Source organism: Homo sapiens, chromosome 4, assembly GCF_000001405.40.
Source record: "Homo sapiens chromosome 4, GRCh38.p14 Primary Assembly".
NCBI classification, from domain to species: domain Eukaryota; kingdom Metazoa; phylum Chordata; class Mammalia; order Primates; family Hominidae; genus Homo; species Homo sapiens.
Window position 1 is genome coordinate 188,174,942 of NC_000004.12, and position 22,985 is coordinate 188,197,926.

Here is a 22,985-nt window from a genome sequence, read left to right on the forward strand (position 1 = left end):
TCCGCCTCCTGGGTTCAAGCGATTCTGCTGCCTCAGCCTCTCTAGTAGCTGGGACTACAGGCAAGTGCAACCACGCCTGGTTAGTTTTTGTATTTTTAGTAGAGACGGGGTTTCACCATGTTGGTTAGGCTTGTCTCGAACTCCTGACCTCAAGTGATCCACCTGCCTCGGCCTCCCAAAGTTCTGGGATTACAGGTGTGAGCCACCGGGCCTGCCCTGGACCAACGTTCTTCTAACAGGACGAATATGCTTAACTCGTATGAAACTGGACTGCAGTCTGCTCTAAAGGTGTGCCTCCTTCTTTGGCGAATTTATAAGGAAGTCCCCACAGCCCTCAGGACAGAGACTGAACAAGGGATGTGACTGCTGTGAATACTCCCAGCCAAAGGCCATCAGGACACCCGGAGTTGAACAAGGTAACAAGGAGACCATCCTGTGGGGACCCATGGCACGTCTCAGGAAGAGGGTGACAGCACGGGCTTGTGATGGGGTTTGAGCTTATGCTAGGTGATTTTGAGTGAGTCATCAATGAGACATGGTTTTTCTCTGGTGCTGAGAGCAAGCAGTGGAGATTCTGTGATAAAACGTTGTAATAATTTTTATCTAGGAGGCAGGAGGAACACAGGAGGGCTTAAGCTGTAATCCACACAGAGGCAGTTGTTCACGTTAGCGGAAGAATGGGATGTTCAGGCAGTATTATGGTTTGCAAAGTCTTGTGTTTTTTTTTTTTTTTTTTTTTTTTTTGAGATGGAGTTTTGCTCTTGTTGCCAAGGCTGGAGTGCAGTGGCGCTATCTCGGCTCACTGCAACCTCCGCCTCCTGGGTTCAAGCGACTCTCTTGCCTCAGCCCCCTAAGTAGCTGGGATTACAGGCATGCGCCACCACGCCTGGCTAATTTTGTGTTTTTAGTAGAGACGGGGTTTCTCCATGTTGGTCAGCCTGTTCTCGAACTCCCAACCTCAGGTCATCTGCCCACCTCGGCCTCCTAAAGTGCTGGGATTACAGGCGTGAGCCACCGTGCCCGCCCAGTGTTCTTGTTTTATTCTGTGCTCAGACATGTTTATGGAGTGGTCTTGTTTTTGTCTCCCTCCATCACAGTCACAGAGTGACCCTGTTGATGCTATGCTCTGTGAAATTGTTTACTTTCACCAGAACACCTGGCCCAGCTGTGAGCGTCAGGCCAGCTCCTACCAAATGAATGGCAGGAGCTGCTCTTTTTCTTTTGTGTTTTTCCTGCCCTCACCACATGGCCTATTTCCTTCCAGTCCAGTAGAAATGGGCAGTGACTGGCCCAATAGTAGGAGCCCTTAGCCACTGACATCTGGAACAGGCTTAAGGCTGGTGAGTCTGCAACACTCAGCAAGGAGATAGTCTGCCAAATAGCAGAAAAAAAGGGGAGAAATGGAGGGATTGAACAGGGAGATTAGAGAGAAAGAGAAGGGTGGAAAGGGAGACTGGGAGAGAGAGGGAGACAGAGGGAGAGAGGGAGACAGAGGGATAGAGGGAGACAGAAGCAGAGAGAGGGCCCATGGAGACACGCTCCTTTCCAAGTCTATAAGCTTCCTTCCTTTGTTTGCAAGAAAATGTAAATTATATAGGACTTACACGTAGGAATGCTCTTTTGAAATCCACCTATTCCATTCGTGCATAATTTTGTACACTTCCCTTGGAGTTTGGTATATGATTGGCCACCCAGCAATGCAGGAGGTGCTTAAGGGACCGAAAGCGCCTCTTTTTTTTTTTTTTTTTGAGACAGAGTCTTGCTGTGTCTCCCAGGCTGGAGTGCAGTGGCACAATGTTGGCTTACTGCAACCTCCGTCTCCCGGGTTCAAGCGATTCTCCTGCCTCACCCTCTTGAGTACCTGGGATTACAAGCATGCGTCACCATGCCTAATTTTGTATTTTTAGTAGAGGCGGGGTTTCTCCATGTTGGTCAGGCTGGTCTCCAACTCCTGACCTCAGATGATCCGTCCGCCTTGGTCTCCCAAAGTGCTGGGATTACAGGCGTGAGCCACCGAGCCTCGTCCTAATTTTTGTATTTTTAGTAGAGACAGGGTTTTGCCATGTTGACCAGGTTGGTCCTGAACTCCTGACCTCAGGCAATCCGCCCGCCTCGGCCTCCCAAAGTGCTGGGATTACAGGCGTGAGCCACCACTCCCGGCTGGAAAGCACCTCTTAAACCTGAATTGGGCCGGGCACAGTGGCTCACGCCTGTAATCCCAGCACTTTGGGAGGCCAAGGCGGGCGGATTGCCTGAGGTCAGGAGTTTGAGACCAGCCTGGCCAACACAGCAAAACCGTGTCTAAACTAAAAATACAAAAAATTATCCGGGCGTGGTGGTGGGCGCCTGTAGTCCCAGCTACTCGGGAGGCTGAGGCAGGAGAATGGCCGGAACCCGGGAGGCGGAGCTTGCAGTGAGCCGAGATCGCGCCCCTGCACTCCAGCCTGGGCGACAGAGCGAGACTCCGTCTTGGGAAAAAAAAAAAAAAAGGAGATGGGGGCAGGAATAGGCATTATGCCGGGAGCAGAAGGGAATGCTCCCTGTAGTTCAGAAAACAAAACCAAACAAAACACACTCCAACACAAAAAAATGACCTGAGGGCAGTCAGGATCGAAAAGTTGAGAATTTTCACAATGTTTTGTATCCTGTTGGACTGTGTTTCCTGAGAGAATGATAATGAAGTTTTCAATAGAGGGCTTAGAAATACAAAAATTGTTTCTTGAATACAAATATGTTTACTAAGTTGCCTTAAATATATTCATGTATTTAAACTTTATTTTCTGTACCTCAATTTGGTCACCCCAAAATTAGGTTTAGAGTAATTTTTTGAGATATGCTGTAGTGGAGTGAGGAGAAAATTCGTTTGGTGCTGCCTAAGAGCTATCCCAATGCAGAGCTTTGCAATGAGACTGGAATTCCATGCAGGAAGGGATTCTCCAGCCAAACGGGGTTTAGAATATGCCTCCTCCTAGCTCCCATCATTGCTGCAAATCTATAGGAATACTGATCACACAGAGAGAAAAGAACTAACTGGTAGTGTCGCCGCAGACTAGAGAGTTTGGATGAGAAAAGGCGGGCACTGTAGGGTGCATAGCACCGTGGAAGGAAACACTCAGTGATACGATAATGACAGAAAGAATAGGCTTGAAGCAAGTATATATGCAAACACTGAAATTTGCAGGGGTTAGAAATTGCCCTGAAGGAAGAGGTGGACAACTCTGCCAGACACTGGGAAGATCAGTGCGGAACACACGGCCAGGATCCAGCCAGTCAGAACTGACTCCCCCATCAATCACATCTTTGCAGAAAAATCTACACCAGAGCTTGCTAGATTCCTAGGTTAGTGAAAAAGATTTTTTCTTTTTTTTTTTTTTTTGGTAACTAACATTGCAAAGTAAACATTATATCATGTTCATTATACATAAGTAATGATTTCAGCTATTGTTTGAAATCCATGGTCAACATCAAAAAGCCTGTAGGTTCTGTTTTCTAAAACTGATAGGACAAGCTAAGAAACCTTACCCCCATCCCCTTATGCAATCTTGAGGAGTCATGCTCAGAATAAATTAGATGAAACACTTAGATGTATTAGATATGAGTCATTTCTGCTTCTCAGGTTGAAAGTTTTTTGCATTTAAACTGTGAGACCAAGCTGAAGACAAAAACTATCTAAATATATCTTAATATTATGAAAACTACTATTGATATGACAGGATCAACCTAGGATCAACATGCTCAGAACATTTATTTTAAATTTCATGTAACTTTCTTATTTGTAATACATCGGGCAGGTGAATGGTTCAAAATTCAGGTACAATAAGACATACAATGACAAGTAAATATTTGACTTTTTTTTGGTACTATTGAGAGGTGAAAATGTGCTGCCTGCCCTCGCTCGCTCTCAGTGCCTCCTCGGCCTCAGCGTCCGCTCTGGCCACACTTGAGGAGCCCTTCAGCCGGCTGCTGCACTGTGGGAGCCCCTTTCTGGGATGGCCTAGACTGGAGCTGGTTCCCTCTGCTTACGGGGAGGTGTGGAGGAAGAGGCGAGGGCGGGAACCGGGGCTGCCCGCGGCGCCCATGGGCCAGCGAGGGCTCGGCGGGCCCTGCATTCAGAGCAGCTGGCAGGCGCCGCCCGCCCCGGGCAGTGAGGGGCTTAGCACCCGGGCCAGCAGCTGCGGAAGGTGCGCCGGGTACCCCAGCACTGCCGGCCCACCCAGGCCGCACTCCAATTCTTGCCGGGCCTCAGCTGCCTCCCCGCAGGGCAGGGTTCAGGCCCTACAGCCTGCCATGCCTGAGTTTCCCCTCCGCTGCGGGCTCCTGCGCGGCCCGAGCCTGCCCTACGAGCGCTGTCCCCTGCTCCATGGCGCCGGGTCCCATCGACTGCCCAAGGGCTGAGAAGTGCAGGCGGGCGGCATGGGACTAACGGGCAGCTCCGCCTGCTGCCTCGCCACGGGATCCACTAGGCAAAGTCAGGCAGGCTCCTGAGTCAGGTGGGGACTTGGAGAATTTTATGTCTGGCTGGAGGATTGTCTGTGAGCTAACCAGCACTCTGTGTCTAGCTTAAGGTTCGTGGGTGTGCCAATCAGCACTCTGTATCTAGCTAAGCTCGTGGGGACTTGGAGAACATTTATGTCTAGCTAGAAGATTCTAAATGCACCAATCAGCACTCTGTGTCTAGCTCAGGGATTGTAAATGCACCAATCAGCACCCTGTCAAAATGGACCAATCAGCTTTCTGTAAAATGGACCAATCAGCTCTCTGTAAATTGGACCAATCAGCTCTCTGTAAAATGGGCCAATCAGCAGGATGTGGGAGGGGTAGGATAAGGGAATAAAAGCAGGCTGCCTGAGCTAACACTCCCAACCCACTGGTGTTGCCTTCCACATTTAAGAAAGTTTGTTGTTTCATTCTTTGCAGTAACTCATGATGGTGTTAACTGTTGGGGTCTGTACTACGTTTATCAGCTGTAACAGTCACTGCTAAGGTTTGCAGTTTCCTTTCTGTTGCCAGCGGGATCACGAGTCCACCGGGAGAAATGAACAACTCCAGACGCGTGGTCTTAAGAGCTGTACCACTCACCATGAAGCTCTGTGGCTTCACTTCTGAATCCAGGGAGGCCACGAACCCACCAGAAGGTAGAAACTGTGAACCCGTTCAAACATCAGAAGGAACGAACTGGACACGTTGTTCTTAAGAAGTGTAACACTGATCGTGAGGGTCTGTGGTTTCATTCATGAAGTCAGTGAGACGAGGAACCCACCAATTACAGACACAGTATGATGAACCAAAAACCCCAACACTTCCCTGCCATAAAACAGGAATCAAATGAGGCCAGTAACAAAGACAGTTTGAGTCCAGGGCACTGAGTGAAGGCACTAGATATGCTGGGACTCATCATTGCTTTGGAACAGGGACAGGATCTGGGTACGAAGTTTCTACCGCTCTTGTGGTGGGGAGTTGGGTTGGGCATCACTTTCATACGGCGAGAGGAAACGGTGGTGTCATCTATGTTAGCACTGGCTGCAGTGGAGCTTAAAAAACATGTTGCAAGCTCTCACATGGGTTCAAGTCTGAATTTCCACTGCTACGTGGTCTGAAAACTGCAAGCAGGAATTTACATTTAAAGCACATGGAGTCTATAGTATCCCCAGGTACTTCAGAGAAGCAAATATCAATACTCCCTCGAGGAGTAAGTCTTCAAACAAGGCTTCCAAGCACCCCACAGGGTTAGTGGCACCAACTTTTAACTACTGTAACTAATAAGGAGAAGCCAAGGGTACATATGAAGAAGTTGTTTATGAGCATTTGCCAACAAAAAAAGACCTGCAAAGACGTCAGATACTGTAAGAACAGAATACAGAATATAAAATGGGTATTCTTAATATGTTTCAATGAGTAAAGGCAGAAATAAGGTGAAGAGTCAGGATGAAGGGATCACCGAAGATGAGCAGACAAATTTGGGCAAAACTAGAAATGTAAACTATAATAATTGAAGTAAAAAGAAAACTCAATGGAAGGGTTAAAAAATTGCTGGAGATGAGAGAACAATTAGTAAACTCAGTTATTCAAAAATTATACTATTACACAAAGAGATCAATACATTAAAAATAGAAAAGTTTAAGAGACAAGTAGAAAATCCACCGTACATATAATCAGAATTTGAGAGGCAGATTGTTGAAAAAAAATGCAAGGAATAAATTTTTTTTTTTTTTTTTTTTTTTGAGATGGTCTCACCCTGCTGCCCAGGCTGGAGTGCAGTGGTGTGATCTCGGCTCACTGCAAGCTGTGCCTCCCAGGTTCAAGCGGTTCTCCTGCCTCAGCCTCCTGAGTAGCTAGGATTACAGGCACACGCCACCACGCCCAGCTAATTTTTGTATTTTTAGTAGAGACAGGGTTTCACCATATTGTCCAGGCTGGGCTCGATCTCCTGCCTCGGCATCCCAAAGTGCTGGGATTACAGGCGGGAGCCACTGCACCTGGCCAAAATATTTCAAGAAGTAATGACCAGTGTTTCTGGAATGAATGAAAGACCCAAATCCATCGTGTGTCTTTCATTCCATTTGATTTCTCATTTGGTTTTTCTTTTTGCAGCTGGGAAGTTTCAGGGTTATTGGCTCATCATAGTACCAAATCATGACAGATCCAAAGAAAGACAAATAAAAGCCAGTCAATATTAGGACATATTAACAGTGCAACAGCAGAACAACATAAACAATAAGGGATCGTGAAAGAAGAGACACTTTGCCACCGGGCGTGGTAAATAAGCATATGTAAAGATGATGTCAACATCTTGTATCACCAAGTATTACAAATTTTTAAAAAAGGAAATAGCACTACACACCTATTAAAAAGGGGAGCAGGCAGGGTGTGGTGGCTCATGCCTGTAGTCCTAGCACTTTGGGAGGCCGAGGCCGGCAGGTCACTTGAGGTCAGGAGTTTGAGACCAGCCTGCCCAACATGGAGAAACCCCGTCTCTACTAAAAATACAAAAGTATTCGGGCGTGGTGGCAGGCACCTGTAATACCAGCTACCTGAGAGGCTGAGTCAGGAGAATCGCTTGAACCCGGGAGGCGGAGGTTGTGGTGAGCTGAGATTGCGCCACTGCACTGCAGCCTGGGCAACAAGAGCCAAACTCCGTCTCAAAAAAAAAAAAAAAAAAAAAAAAAAAGGGTGAGCATCCCAAACACCAATGCTGGCAAGAATGTGTAGCAATAGGAACTCTGATTCATTGTGCTGGGAGTGGATGTACTCATAAAATGGTACTGATACCATGGAGGGCAGTTCGGTGGTTTCCTATAAAACTAAACATTCTTTTACTACATAGTCCGGCCATTATGCTCCTTGGTATTTACCCAAATGAACACATCAATGTTTATAGTAGCCTTATTTGTAATTGCCAAAGCTTAGAAGCAACTAAGATGTTGTTCCTTAGGTTAAAAAAGAAAAGAAACTGTGGCACCTCCAGACAATAGGATATTATTTAGTGCTAAAAATAAATAAGCTACCAAGTGACAACACCACATGGAGGAATGTTAACTGCGTATAAATGACAGAAACAAAAACCAATCCGAAAAGGTGATGCACTGCATGATTCCAGTCATGTGATGCTTCGGAAAAGGCAAAACTATGGAAATGGTAAAAAGGTCAGTGGTTGCCAGAGGTTAAGGATAAAGAGAGATGATTAGGTGGAGAACAGAAGATTTTTAGGATAGTGAAACCATTTTGTCTGATAATATAATGGTGGATATGTGTGATTATACATTTGTTAAAAACCATGGAATGTACAACCCTAAGAGAGAACCCTAATATAAACCATGAAATTTGAATAATAATGATGTATCATTGCAGGTCTGTAGATTTGTCAAATATGCACCACTGTCGTGGGGGATGGTAGTAGTGGGGTAGGTTGTGTGTGTATAGGGACCAAGGGTATATGAGAACTCTCTGTACTTTCTGATCAATTTTGATGTGAAGCTAAAACTGGTCTAAAAAATAAAGTTTATTAAATTACAAAAATCTAACAGGGTTAAAAGGAAATGGGAAAATTAATTTAAAAATGTATATGGGCCAGGCGCGGTGGCTCATGCCTGTAATCCTAGCACTTTGGGAAGCTGACACGGGCGAATCATGAGGTGAAGAGATCGAGATCATCCTGGCCAACATGGTGAAACCCTGTCTCTACTAAAAATGCAAAAATTAGCCAGGCGTGCTGCAAGGTGCCTGTAGTCCCAGCTACTCGGGAGGCTGAGGCAGGAGAATCACTTGAACCCGGGAGGCAGAGGTTGCAGTGAGCCGAGATCGCACCACCGCACTCCAGCCTGGGTGACAGAATGAAACTCCATCTTAGAAAAAAAAAAGAAAGAAAAAACATGTATATGGCAGCATAAATATCAAGAACAAATGGGAGAAACTCTTCAAGTGGAATGAGGTGGGAACATATCCTTCCTCAGACATCAAGACGCATTATAATCCATAGACTATAAGACAGTGGCACTAGCACAACAATAGACCAACAGAGAAAAGAAATTTGTTAGATTGTCTGGAAATAACACAGTGAAAGTGTGGAGGTTTGATAAGTGGTGAAATTATCCTGTATGTGAATGGGGATAATATGCGCTAGTCCATTGAATTAATCGTCTCTCTCTGACTGTTTCTCCCTCTCACTTTCTTTCTGTGTGTGTGTGTGTGTGCATACATGAGTGTGTGTGCATGCGTGTTTGATGGGGACAGGAGGCAGGGAAACGCTGGGTAGAAGAAGGTGGTTCTTCAGCAAAGGCCCCACCTTCAAGCCTGGAAACTGTGGCTCTAAATGAAAACAGTTATCTCTGTTTTCCCGTCCAATTGTTGCTTTATTCAAAACCACCCTGGCCCGCCACCCTCATGCCCCTCCCCCCCTGACCCCGCATCCTGTACTCATAAAACCCCCAAACCCCAGGTTCAATGAGCAGGAGGGCGGCACAGCAGCAGAGCAGCAGAGCGGCAGAGTGGAGAAGGAGAGAAGAGAAGTGTCTGAACATGGGGAGGAGTTTGGCTGGGGGCGGTCATAGAAGAGATTCGCCATGAGATGGCTGAACTCCAGGGGACAATCATCTTCCCACTCCATCCCCTCTCCACCTCCCCATCCCACTGAGAGCCACCTCCACCTCTCAATGAAATCCCTGCATTCACCATTCTTCAAGTCCATGTGACCTGATTCTTCCTGGAAGCTAGACAGGAATTCAGGATTCCTGTACCAATTCCATTGGGTACAGGAACCAAAAAGACTGTCACGTTGACTCTTCACTGAGCTGTTAAACACTTTAGCTTTCCCTGGGTGGCAGGGCTAAAGGACATTGTAATACCCCTAGCCACTGCTGGGGGGTCAGAGCCCAAATGTGCTCACCCCAGCTCACCTGTGTGCTCTCCCTCCCTTAAAGGGTTTGAACACGCACCAGCCGAATAAATGAGCCACATGCCATCACATGTTCCGCGAGGGGTCAGAGAACTCTCCTGTTTCATGTTGACGGATGTTGTAAGCATTAATGGTTTTAAATGCAAAAGGAAAACTCGGAAATGTTAAAGATAGTATAGAATAATTTCATTATGGCCTTTGAATAGGAAAGTATTTCTGAAACAGCATGTAAGATGTACAAGCCACAAAAACATCTTGATAAATTTGACTACATTAAAATTAAAAACTTCTTTTAATCGAAAGATACAATAAAAAAAGCATAAGTGATACACATGCAGGGAAAATAATTTTTTTCTTTTTTTTTTTGTGATGGAGTTTTGCTCTTGTTGCCCACGCTGGAGTACAATGGTACGATCTCGGCTCACCGCAACCTCCCTGTCCTGGGTTCAAGCGATTCTCCAGCCTCAGCCTCCCGAGTAACGGGGATTACAGGCATGCGCCACCACACCCAGCTAATTTTGTATTTTTAGTAGAGACAAGGTTTCTCCATGTTGGTCAGGCTGGTCTCGAACTCCTGACCTCAGGTGATCCACCCGCCTTGGCCTCCCAAAGTGCTGGGATTACAGGCAAAAGCTACCATGCCTGGCCTAATTTTAAAAAATACATGAAATTAATGAAGCATTATGATCCAGAATATATAAAAGTATAATATATCAGTAAATCAACAAAAATGGGGAAAAGATGTGAAAAAATTTCACAGTAGAGGAAATAACCTGTTAGAAAAATCTGTAAAAGGTACTAACAAGTACTTTACAGAACAGGAATATAAGTGGCCAGTAGATATATATAAAAAGATTCTCAATTCGTAATAATCAGTAAAAGGCAATTTAATATTTAATGAAATCTCATGATACACCTAATACATAGGTAAATATGACCAGGATATAGAACAAGGATGTCCCTGGGGCAGTTGCTAAGAGTGTGAATTGGTGCAATGACTTTCAAAATCAATTTGGCATTATCTTGTAAACTGAATGTGAGTATGCCCAATTCTAGTATGTGCTGTAGGAAAAATGTCTACCCCTTTGCACAAGGAATCATACAAAATAATGTTTCTAGGAGCATTGTTAATAATAGCAAAAGACAAGAACAAAACCTTGCAAGTAACCAAATGTCTATTGGGTCTATTTGTGGGAAAATGGATAAAGAAATTGAGGTTTATTCATGAATTGGACACTATATAATGGTGAAAATGAATAAACTTGAATTACACATGTCAGGGTGATCGAAACTCAGAAAGTTAATACATTGTGGAAGCAAGTTGTGGAAAGATATGCAGCATGATACTGTATTATAAATTCAAAGCCAAGCACACTAGGCAGTGTATTAACAGCTGTGCAACACGTATGTGAATGGAACTCTTGGAGAAAACCCAGGGCCAGGGATGAAGTAACAGAAGCGAACAGGAGCTTCAGAGATAACAGTGACGTTCCATGTCTTAGTGTGGGTGAAGGGGTCAATGGTGTTTGTTTCATGAAAATCTATCTCTATCTGCTATCTGTCTGTCTGTCTGTCTATCTATCTATCTCTCTATCTATCTATCTTCTATCTAATCTTATCTATCCATCCTATCTACAGATGTATATGTTTGTGTGTATATAAATATACATCTGTCACAAACATTCTCTTATGTGTATCAAATATTTTCATAATAAAAACATTTACAAAATCTCCTACTCTTTCTAGTCCTGTTATTCCATAGTTTCCCCTTCTGTGTCTTGTTTTGTAAACTTAATGTGTGGGCCAGGTGCAGTGGCTCACGCCTATATTCCCAGCACTTTGGGAGGCTGAAGCGGGTGGATCACCTGAGGTCAGGAGTTCGAGAGCAGCCTGGTCCAACATGGTGAAACCCTGTCTCTACTAAAAATACAAAAATTAGCTGGGTGTGGTTGTGGGTGCCTGTAATCCCAGCTACTCAGGAGGCTGAGGCAGGAGAATCACTTGAACTTGGGAGGCTGAGGTTGCAGTGAGCTGAGGTGGCACCACTGCACTCCAGCCTGGGGGACAAAGTGAGACTCCATCTCAAACAAAAATAAAAAAAGAAAATAAAAAAATAAACTTAATGTGTGGATGTTGTTCCTTCCCAGTATACATTATTTTCCTCCAGCTTTATTTAGGTATAATTGATAAATTAAAATTATATATATTCAAGTAATACAATATGGTAATTTGAGATATGTTTACATTGTGAAATGACCACAGTCAAGTTATTTAACAATCATCATCACACATAGTTACCTCTGTGTGTGTGTGTGTGTGTGTGTGTGTGTGTATTATGTGTATGTGGTTAGGACACCTAAGATCTACTGTCTCAGACAATTTCAAGTATTCACTGCCTCCTTGTATATATGGATGCAGTGTATACTTGAAATTGTCTAAGAGAGTAGAAGCTTTTTATCTTCTGTCTTTCTTTTTCTTTTTTTTGAGACGGAGTCTCTCTCTGTCGCCCAGGCTGAAGTGCAGTGGTGTGATCTCGGCTCACTGCAACCTCCGCCTCCCAGGTTCATGCCATTCTCCTGCCTCAGCCTCCGAGTAGCTGGGACTCAACGCCCGGCTAATTTTTTGTATTTGTAGTAGAGACGGGGTTTCACCGTGTTAGCCAGGATGGTCTCTATCTCCTGACCTCTTGATCCGGACCCTTCTGCTGTTAAAGCTTGAAACTTGTATTCATTTTATCTGAGTTAGGTCCTCAGGAAAGAACCTTCAGTCCTCTCAAAAAAAAGTGTCGAAGAACTGAAACTCACCAGATCATATGCCTTCTTGTTTTCTTACACATTGTTATATTTATTTCCTGCTGTATAAATCCCTAGTTGTAGTCAGTCAGGGAGAGGATTTGAGACTGAGCTCCCATCTCCTTGGCTGCAGCATCCCATTAAAAACTTCTTCCTTGGCAATACTTGTTGATTGGCTTTCTGTGCAGTGAGAACAGGACCTAGACCAAATCCCTGGTGTTTTGGCAACAAAATGATGTGTAAAATCTCTATGCAGATAGCTATAAAACATTGCTCAGAGAAAGAAATACTGCACAATTTTAGGTTTTTTTTTTTTTTTAGATGGAGTCTTGCTCTGTCGCCCAGGCTGGAGTACATTGGTGCAATCTCAGCTCATTGCAACCCCTTTCTCCCAGGTTCAAGCAATTCTCCTGTCTCAGCCATGCAAGTAGCTGGGATTACAGGCTCCCACTATCATGCCTGGCTAATTTTTGTATTTTTAGTACAGATGGGGTTTTACCATGTTGGCCAGGCTGATCTTGAACTCCTGACCTCAAGTGACCCACCCACCTTGGCCTCCCGAAGTGCTGAGATTACAGGTATGAGCCACCTCCCCCAGCCAGGTCTTTCTTAATTAATTCAAGGTGGACTATATATCCAAACATAATTGCTAAAACTATAAAGCTTTTCAAAGAAAGCATAGGAGAATATCTTTGTTACCTTTTAGTAGGCAAAGATTGCTTACACAGAACTTGGGAAGCACACACACACACACACACACACACAAACCCAGATAAATTAGACTTATTTGGCATGTAATTATTTACTTTGAATCATAGTACATTTATGTACTGTAACGGAAAAGGGTCTATTGTCTATTCCTGAGGCACTAACTTCCCTTTCTTATGGACGTTTAAGTCTGCAAGTGAATTTTGTATTTTTCAAAAGCTATTTTAAACCTTTATGCTTTTCCACACTAACCCTACCTTTAACCCACTTTCCTCTGTTAATTTTTTTCACTTAATGTGTCCTAGTGATTGTTCATATTACTACATAAAATTTCTTTGTTTTCTTTTTTTTTTTTTTTTTTTTTTGTTGAGACAGGGTCTCTCCGTCACCCAGGCTGAAGTGCAGGACCTTGGCTCACCACAACCTCCACCTTCCAGTTCAAGCCATCCTCTTATCTCAGCCTCCTAAGTAGCCGGGACTACAGGTGTGCACAACCACGTCGAACTAATTTTTTGTATTTTTGGTAGAGACAGGGTTTTGCTGTGTTGCCCAGGCTGGTCTTGAACTCCTGACTTCAAGCGAGCTGCCCACGTCAGCCTCCCGAAGTGAGCCACTGCGCCTGGTCTAGTACATAAAATTTCTGTATTTGTTAGTTTTAATTTTTTCAAAGTTGTAAATGTACATATTTCAAAGCCTCAAGTAGTTCTATAAGGATTAATATGTAAAACTGTACTACTATATTTGGCCAGGCATGATGGCTCACGCCTGTAATCCCAGCACTTTGGGAGGCTGAGGCAGGCGGATCGTGAGGTCAAGAGATTGAGACCATCCTGGCCAAGATGGTGAAACCCCGTCTCTACTAAAAATACAAAACATTAGCCAGGTGTGGTCGTGGGCGCCTGTAATCTCAGCTACTTGGGAGGCTGAGGCAGGAGAATTGCTTGAACCCGGGAGGCAGAGGTTGCAGTGAATTGAGATTGCGCCATTGCACTCTAGCCTGGGCAAAAAGAGAGAAACTCTGTCTTAAAAAAAAAAAATTAAATTGTACTATATTCATCTCCTTCTAGTTCTTATTCTTCAGAGACAATAATTAAGCTCACATAGCTTTTCTTTTGGTATTTAATGTAATCGCATGATTTTAACGACTATACTGCTAGTTCTGTATTTTGTTGTTGTTATTGAGTCCTAAGCTTAACTACTGACTTCTCACTAGATCAAATTTATTTTATTTCATCACATTTCACATACATTTACACATTTTCATGTACCATTCTACCAATTTACTTATATTTGTTAGATAAGTATTCAATATTTGTATTATGACTATATAAGCATGATTTACACTACAGATATGTAGAATATGGACTTTAACTCTCCCAAAAGAGGGCTGCTAATAATTTCTCCCATCTTTATATGTGTAAAGTCTATTCTTTCCCACATGAATCTGGACTGATCTTGTGACTAGCTTTTTCTCAGTAGAATGTGGCAGCTCTAAGCCTTGTCCCTCAGAGTCATGGCAACTTCCATGTTCTGTCTTTGGGAGACTTATGACAGCTTGTAAGAAGTCTGACTATTATCCTGGACAGAGAAGCCCAGTCAGTCCTCAGCCATGCTAGCTACCACTTCAGCCAGGGCACCAGACAATATGAGTGGAGTGGGGTTTTGATGGAGAGCTTTTTCGTGATTCACATTCCTCCTTTTTTTTTTTCTTTTTTTCTTGGACTAAGGAATTCTTTTTTGGATTGAAAGTCTAAAATCCTTGTAACTTTCATATTTTATTTTGTACTTCTTAGAATCATGCTCTACTTTTTGGGAGATCTAAATTTTAATTTTTAATTAATTTCTCGGTTAAGTTTTTAATTACAGACATCATATTTTTCTCTTTTTCTCCAAAATAATTCTCCTCTTCCTCCTTATCCTTCTAGACCTATTTTTCTTTCAGGGATGCCATATATCCTTTTATTTCTCTGTGGACATTAGTGACTATTTTACAGAGTTTTGGCTTCCTGCATAGTCTCAATTTTCTCCAAGTTACTTATTATTGTTTGTTTGTTCTATTCTATTTTTAAGGTGAGAGGCTGTCTTCAGTTGCCTAGAGACACATGGTTGTCTGCTCATAATTAAGATTGGGGTATTAGTGGCTGGGCGCAGTGGCTCACGCCTGTAATCTCAGCACTTTGGGAGGCTGAGGGAGGTGGATCACCTGAGGTAAAGAGACTGACACCATCCTGGCCAACACAGTGAAACCCTTTCTCTACTAAAAATGCAAAAATTAGCCGGGCCTGATGGCGCACCTGTAGTCCCAGCTACTTGGGGAGGCTGAGGCAAGAGAATCACTTGAACCTAGGAGGCAGAAGTTGCAGTGAGCCAAGATTGCACTATTGCACTCCAGCCTGGCGACAGAGCAAGACTCCATTCCCCCCACCCCTCCTAAAAAAAAAAGATTGGGGTATTAGCAAATTGATTGGGCAAGGCTTAAGCCTAGCCCCATTGCAGAGAGATTTAGTCAGGCTGACTTGTTGAAGCCTCACTATGCCAGTCTCTAAATTTTCTTCCTTGGATAGGTCAGATTTCTCAGAGAAGTAGCTTCTTGTCTGCTTGGAGGACAAGATCCTGGATATCAGGCAGGCATTCTGCATATCAGGTGGGGGAAGAAGGCTGGATACGTGAAATTCTGTATGTGAGCAAAATCCAGTGTGATCCCTTTCTGTTAATGTGGCATCTCAGGTCTTGTCTGGTGATCCTCTGATCTACAGAGAAGAAACCTCCATCCAGCCTTCTGTTGGATGACGTGAGCCAATTGCTCAAACAGACCTTCAGCTTCTTGGAAACAATCCTGTGTTTAATTGCACTTCCTAAGATTCCTGGAGCCAAAAATTACTGAGCCTTTTGGGAATTCTGCAAGCTGGTTACTTCTGGCCTTTTCCTACCACTGGCTTAGTATTTATTATGTTCGGATTTGCTCATTTAAATATTACTTCCTTTTTTCCTTTCAGAATTTTGGTGCTTTTTATTTCTTTTCCAGGTTTTTGTTCTTGTGGGGTTTTATCTTCAAAATAATCCCTCTGTATCATTTCATGGTATTTTTGGAAAGATTTGGTATTTAGACAACTATCATAAAATGAAGTCACCTTTGTTTAATGGCCTTATAAAAACATTATGCTGTGAATATATAAGAATTTACTTATCCAGTCAAATATTTTGTTTTTTTAAGTATGTTGTTAGACAATTAGAAAATGTCCCAGTTGAAGACTAAGAAATGCTATTTCAAATTTGTGTTTATTTTACTATGTGAACCTTGAGCATATTTTTATTAGTTTAGAAAACATTTGTTTTTCTTCACTTGATCTTAGCCAAAAGGCTGAGAAGAAATGACATTTGTTTTTCTTTAATGTGAACTACCTATCATGCTTTTTCCCTCATTTTTCTGTTGAAATTTTGGTGTTTCTCTTCTGAAATTTTATGTCATGTGCTATTAGTAACACATAATTCCTTTAGGCTGACTCTGAGCACACTGCCTATGAGTTAACCTGCTCTGCAAGGAGCAGCACTGTTCAGTCAAAGCTGCTGTCTAGGCCGGGCGCGGTGGCTCACGCCTGTAATCCCAGCACATTGGGAGCCCAAGACAGGCGGATCACCTGAGGTCACGAGTTCGAGACCTGCCTGGCCACATGGTGAAACCCTACTAAAAATATGAAAAAATTAGCCGGGCGAGGTGGCGGGCACCTGTAGTCCCAGCTACTTGGGAGCCTGAGGCAGGCGAATCATTGGAACCCGGGAGGCAAAGCTTGCAGTGAGCCGACATCGCATCATTGCACTCCAGCCTGGGCGACAGAACGAGACTCCGTCTCAAAAAAAAAAAAAAAGCCTGCTGTCTGACACCAAAACAATGGACATATTACAGTTTGGTTTTGGTCTTTTGGCTTCACTTATGTTGTATGCTTCTGTGTGTTTGTAAAGTAGAACTCTAATAAAATTTACTTTTAACTTCTTCAAACTGAATATTTATTGGATGAGAAAATTATAATATCACTTGAAAACGTTGTAATGTTTCAATAGTTTTCAATTTTGTCTCCATATTAAAAATGTTTTCTAATAACACTCCTAACATATTCTGAAATAAGACATCAATAAGGAGCACACGATCTTGTGAACACTCATGACGTGATGCACCAGCCCGTTCCCTTGTCTGCCCCAGCTTCATGCCACTGCTCCTCAGTCTCCTCCTCACCCCCCAGGGGCTCCCCTCTTTCCGCCTTTCAGGTCCTCTCAGCTCTTTCAGAGGCGCAGAGTGGTGTAGAATGAAGATTCTGTGGGGGAGTCATAACTTAGAGTCTTCCACTTGAAACCCAAACGAAGAAGTGTGGGGAGAGAAGGCTGGGGACAGATTACTGGAGATTGCCAGTACCCTAGAGTCAGGGGGAGCAAGAGGAGCCCCTGGGAGATACTGAAAAGGAATGATTACAGCAGTCAGAAAAAAAGTTGTCAAGACAGCACCACAGAAATTAAAAAGAAGAGAGTTGACTGGGCGCAGTGGCTCATGTCTGTAATCCCAGCACTTTGGGAGGCTGAGGTGGGCAGATCACGAGGTCAGGAGATCGAGATCATCCTGGGCAACATGGTGAAACTCTGTCTGTACTAAATATACCAAAATTAGTTGGGCATGGTGGCGTGTGCCTGTAGTCCCAGCTACTTGGGAGGCTGAGGTAGGAGAATCACTTGAACCCAGGAGGCAGAGGTTTCAGTGAGCCAAGATCACACCACTGCACTCCAGCGTGGCAACAGAGTGAGACTCCATCTCCAAAATAAATAAAAAATAATAATAAAATAAAAAGAAGAGAGTTTTTAGAAGAATAGTTGGAAGAACTAACAGTTTTAGAGATATCAGATAATAATACCACCAGCAGTAGTCTGCTGGAGAATTCTATCCTGATCAGAGGAGGGTCATTCCTTTTGTTCTAACCGGGCCTTCACCTGATTGGATGGGGTCCACCTACAGTCTAAAGGATAATCCTCAGAGTTTATTGATTTAATGGTAATCTCAGGCAAAACCACCTTCCAAATAGACACACAAAATTAACTGTCATGGAGTGGTAGAGAAAAAATGTACCTTTTCAGTGAGATGAATAGAGAAAGAAAGGGGAATGGTGCAATAAATGAGATGATCAATTGGGGAATTAAGTGGACTAGAGAAAAAAACAATACTATGCCAGAAGTTTTTCTTTTTTATTATTTTGTTTTTTAAAGATGAATGAAACATAAGCATGTTGTTTTGCTGGGGAGACGCATTAGCAGAGATGAAGAGCAGGAAGGTTTTCAGGGTCGTAGTGTCGGCTGTCACTTCTGAGCCTCAATTTTCGCAGATTCTCACAAGAACTTCTGGCCCTGATTCATGGATTTTTGCTAGCTATATCTACTAGTATCTCCCACCATTCCATATGCAATACAGTTAAGTTTATTTTTTCCATTTCCCTTTATCAAAACCTTCCCCTAATTTCACCTTTCACATGTCTGTCAGTGACGTCAGTAAACGTCCAAAGGTCTATGACCTTGCAGAAGAAATCACAAACGCACGCGTGAACATGAACTGTTTCCCCTTAAGAACTCTACCTTGTTATTAGCCGACCGTGGTGGCGGCCGCCTGTAGTCCCAGCTACTCGGGAGGCTGAGGCAGGAGAATGGCATGAACCCGGGAGGCGGAGCTTGCAGTGAGCCGAGATCGCGCCACTGCACTCCAGCCTGCTGGGCGACAGAGCGAGACTCCGTCTCAAAAAAAAAAAAAAAAAAAAAAAAAAAAAAGAACTCTGCCTTGTTGATTGTACATACTTACTGGAATCTTTTATTTTTTATTACCAGGATTTGCGGTCGCAGGTCTTTTTTCCTGATCACAGTATTGATATATCATGAGAACCATCAGGATAGCTCCCTAAGGAAAGGTTTCTCAGGAGGTTTTGCAGAGGGGGAGTGATTTTCATGATTCTTAGCAGTTCTTGAAGAGAGAATGCAGAATCTCAGCTCCGGTATTCCATGGAATCTCTGTTGTTTTATTCGCAGAGTCGCTTTGCCCATTTTTCCTCCTTGCATTTATTAGAGAGAAAGGCATCTGGTTATCACCATTGGCCTAAAAAGATTTAGTAATTAAGGATCTTCTTAAAATTCGCATTCTATAGCATTAAGATACACAGATGAGAAGGTGTTTCATGGAAAATAAACTTTGCAAGCAAAATATAAAAACCCATTTATAGTAGGAAGAATTGTGAGTCAGCTAGCTATCTCAACCCTTCAAGGCACACAGAGCACCACAGAAGTGAATTACACTGAATTATCCAATATTTGAATCTTGCCGCTGATTGAAAAATGGTAATTTTTACAACAAAATTGACTAAATAAAGTGTTGCTCCATTTGTACACTGGAGAATATACAGCTATTATAGAAAAGGTGGAACATCTATAGAGATGCTCGTCAGCCAACAGTGGGATTACTTCTCAGTAAATCCATTATAAATTGGAAATACTGTAAGTCAAAAATGCATTAGGTACCCCCAAGTAACCTGACTTGATCACTACACATTCTCCGCACATAACAAAGTATCACACGAGCCCCATAAATATGTACAAATATTATGTATCAATAAAAAAATGCCTTTAATACCCCTAGCCTCCTGAACATCAGCGCTTAGCCTACCTTAAGTGTGCTCTGAACACTCACAGCAGCTACATCTGGGCAGAAGCATCTGGCAACACAGTGCACTGCAGAGTACTGGCTCCTTACCCAGGTCATCACATGGCTGACAGGGAGCTGTGGCTCGTTGCCACCACACAGCATTGAGAGAGTATTCTGCCTCTTTCTACTGAAGCATATTGCTTTTGCATCATCTTAAAGTCACAAAACTGTAAGTCAAACCATCATGTCAGGGAATGTCTGCACACATTGATAAAGAAATTTTCCCAGGGCCAAGCGTGGTGGCTCACGCCTGTAATCCCAGCACTTTGGGAGGCCCAGGTGGGCAGGTCACCAGTTCAGGAGATCGAGACCATCCTGGCCAACATGGTGAAACCTCGTCTCTACTAAAAAAAAAAAAAAAAAAAAAAATACAAAAATTATCTGGGCATGGCAGTGCATGCCTGTAGCCTGTATTCCCAGCTACTTGGGAGGCTGAGGCAGAAGAATCGCTTGAACCCAGGAGGCAGAGCTTGCAGTGAGCTGAGATCGTGCCACTGCACTCCAGCCTGGTGACAGAGCGAGACTCTGTCTAAAAAGAAAGAAAGAAAGAAAAATTTCCAATATCCACTGGAATATAAAATGTGCAAAAGGCAAAAGTACATGGTATAATATACTCCATGTACTGGAAAAATATGTTCATACATTGAAAAGAGATTTCTGAAAAAATGTCCTAGAAACTGGCAGCAGCGCTTGTCTCCAAGTAGAGGGAACTAGGTGGCTGGGATGTGGAGAAAGGCAGGAAATCTACTTTTCCTTATATGTGCTTTGGATTTTTTGAATTATGTACATTTTAAAACATGTACTTCCAGTACATGTTTTAAAAGGAATGAAAATTTTCATTATCAATTTTGGGGAAGAAAAGCAAAGAAGCAGCAGAGACACAGGGGCAAGAACATAAGGTAGTTTGCGAAAGGTGGGATTGTGACGTGCTGGACCTCCAGCATCCGTAGTGATGGTCACCCACACGAATAAGGCGGGCCTGGTCTGGGCTCCAAGCCAGAAGTAAAGGCTGTCACTGAGCCAAATCCTTTAGAGGCCATTCAAAACTTCCCTTTATGTAGCGGCACAGTACCTGAGATACAACCTGTCCTCTATGAATGCCATTTTCACCTAATGACTGCTGTGAAGAAGAGTCTAGTGATCTTCTAGAAGAGTCTACAGCTTACAGTGGCCTGCAATGCTGGCTATGCAACAGGCTGTCCTGTGATGTCTTAACAATATAGCACTGTGCGGTCCCTCCCTGGAATTAATAATCAAAGTTTCCAGAGCTGAGGTCCAAAAACCACTGGATTGCAGTTTTTAACAGGCAGGTAGGTAGCAGGCAAGGAGAAGGGGTTGGCTTAGTACCAGGAAAATTAAATGAAGAAAGTGAGGCATCTACTCTAAAATTGGATCCTTCTTTCCTGACCTGCCTTCAGCTCGGGACTATGAACACAGTCTCTGAAGAGCCCTATGTGCTTCTTGCCAGAACATTTTTCTGAAAAAATAATAATAGCTGCCATTCATTGAGCACATGTTTTATTCCAGCACTGAGCAAGGAGTTTTAGATTGCTGACTTTCATTCTCACAGTGCCTCAGCGAGGAAGGCATATCTGTTTTACAGATAAGCATCGCAAGCTGAGAAAAGTAAGATAACTGCCCGAAGTCAGGAGAGCAGTGGATCTCTGTATTAATTACTCTGCTGGACTGCCTTTAAGTTTCAGAGACTTGCGAGCTCAGAGGAAATCCCGGACTCTAGGAATCGGGTAGGGGGATTGGATTTGGAGGGCCCAGGAAGCTGGCTGCATGCCGCGTGCTCGGGGGTGCTCTCTGCCAGAGCCTGAAGCCTTGAGCTCCACTTCTGCACGGCAGCATCTCAGACTCCAGGGCCGTGCTCACCTTTGCACAACACCTTTACTTTCACATTAGTGCTTTGCCCTTACAGGGGTCGGCTAGGCTAGCAGAGAGATTAGGGATGTTTACTGGGGAGAGAAGCACATGATCACAGTTAAGAGGCTTAAGTTACATTCCCCTCCAGTTCCTACCCACTCACATTGAGATGTGAGAGGGTCAGGGAAGTGCTGGGTAGAGAAAGGTGGGTCCCTGGCTAGGGGTCCACCCTCAGGCCTGTGCCCACAGACCTAGGTGAGGACAGGCACTCCTGTCTTCGTGCCCAAATACTGCATTTTCCAAGACCACCCTGGCCCACTACGGCCCCGACCTGTGCCTATAAAAACCCTGAGACCCTAGCAGGCACAGACACAACCCACTGGACTTTGAGAGGAACATGCCCGTGTTAGAGTACACAGGCAGCTGGACGTCCAGAGGAGCAGAGTGGGGAAGAACACGCTGGCAGGCCATCAGCCGGCGGAGATGGGGGGCCGAGGGGAATCTGGCCGGGGCCGTTGGAGGGGAGTCCGGCCACCCAGCGGCCCGACTAAAAGGGAAAATCACCTTCTAAATCCATCCCCTTCCCCCTCCCCACCCACCTGCTGAGTGCTACTTCCTCCACTCAATCCCACTCCATCCCCTTCCCACTCCCCACCCACCTGCTGAGAGCTACTACCTCCATTCAATCCCACCCCATCCCCTTCTCACTCCCCACCCACCTGATGAGAGCTACTTCCTCCATTCAATCCCACCCCATCCCCTTCCCACTCCCCACCCACCTGATGAGAGCTACTTCCTCCATTCAATCCCACTCCATCCCCTTCCCACTCCCCACCCACCTGCTGAGAGCTACTTCCTCCATTCAATCCCACTCCATCCCCTTCTCACTCCCCACCCACCTGATGAGAGCTACTTCCTCCATTCAATCCCACTCCATCCCCTTCCCACTCCCCACCCACCTGATGAGAGCTACTTCCTCCATTCAATCCCACTCCATCCCCTTCCCACTCCCCACCCACCTGCTGAGAGCTACTTCCTCCATTCAATCCCACTCCACCCCCTTCTCACTCCCCACCCACCTGCTGAGAGCTACTTCCTCCATTCAATCCCACTCCATCCCCTTCTCACTCCCCACCCACCTGCTGAGAGCTACTTCCTCCATTCAATCCCACTCCATCCCCTTCCCCCTCCCCACCCACCTGCTGAGAGCTACCTCCAACATTCAATCAGACCTTGCACTCATTCTCCAAGCCCACGTGTGATCTGATTTTTCTGGTACACCAAGGCAAGAACCCAGGGTACAGAAAGCCGCCTGTCCTTGCAATAAGGCAGAAGATCTAATCGAGCTGATGAACACGACACCTACAGATGACGAAAGCTGAGAGCACCCTGTAACACACGCCCACTGGGGCCTCAGGAGCTGTAAGCATTCACCCCTAGACACTGCCATGGGGTTGGAGCCCCACGACCTGCCCGTCTGCATGCTCCCCATACAGGTCTG

At 44.4% G+C, this 22,985-nt stretch overlaps 1 long non-coding RNA gene across 1 annotated transcript, besides 2 other annotated features; it reads left to right on the plus strand.

Annotated features, from left to right (window-relative positions):
* The first annotated feature begins 201 nt into the window (after nucleotides 1–201).
* On the plus strand, nucleotides 202–6,849 carry LOC105377607 (uncharacterized). The gene is made up of 3 exons (XR_939619.4): nucleotides 202–416; nucleotides 3,182–3,339; nucleotides 4,918–6,849. It is a non-coding gene; the product is annotated as an uncharacterized LOC105377607 (long non-coding RNA).
* Nucleotides 13,697–13,866: an enhancer, noted in NCBI's record as "experimental_76925 CRE fragment used in MPRA reporter constructs". NCBI's record gives its function as "activates a minimal promoter by MPRAs in K562 erythroleukemia cells, with activity observed for both the introgressed and non-introgressed 4:189109877 variant alleles {active_cell/tissue: K562}" and the evidence as "EXISTENCE:reporter gene assay evidence [ECO:0000049][PMID:34662402]".
* Nucleotides 20,959–21,657: an enhancer, noted in NCBI's record as "H3K4me1 hESC enhancer chr4:189117054-189117752 (GRCh37/hg19 assembly coordinates)". NCBI's record gives its function as "activates a minimal SCP1, AML or CMV promoter by ChIP-STARR-seq in primed H9 embryonic stem cells {active_cell/tissue: H9 hESC(primed)}" and the evidence as "EXISTENCE:reporter gene assay evidence [ECO:0000049][PMID:30033119]".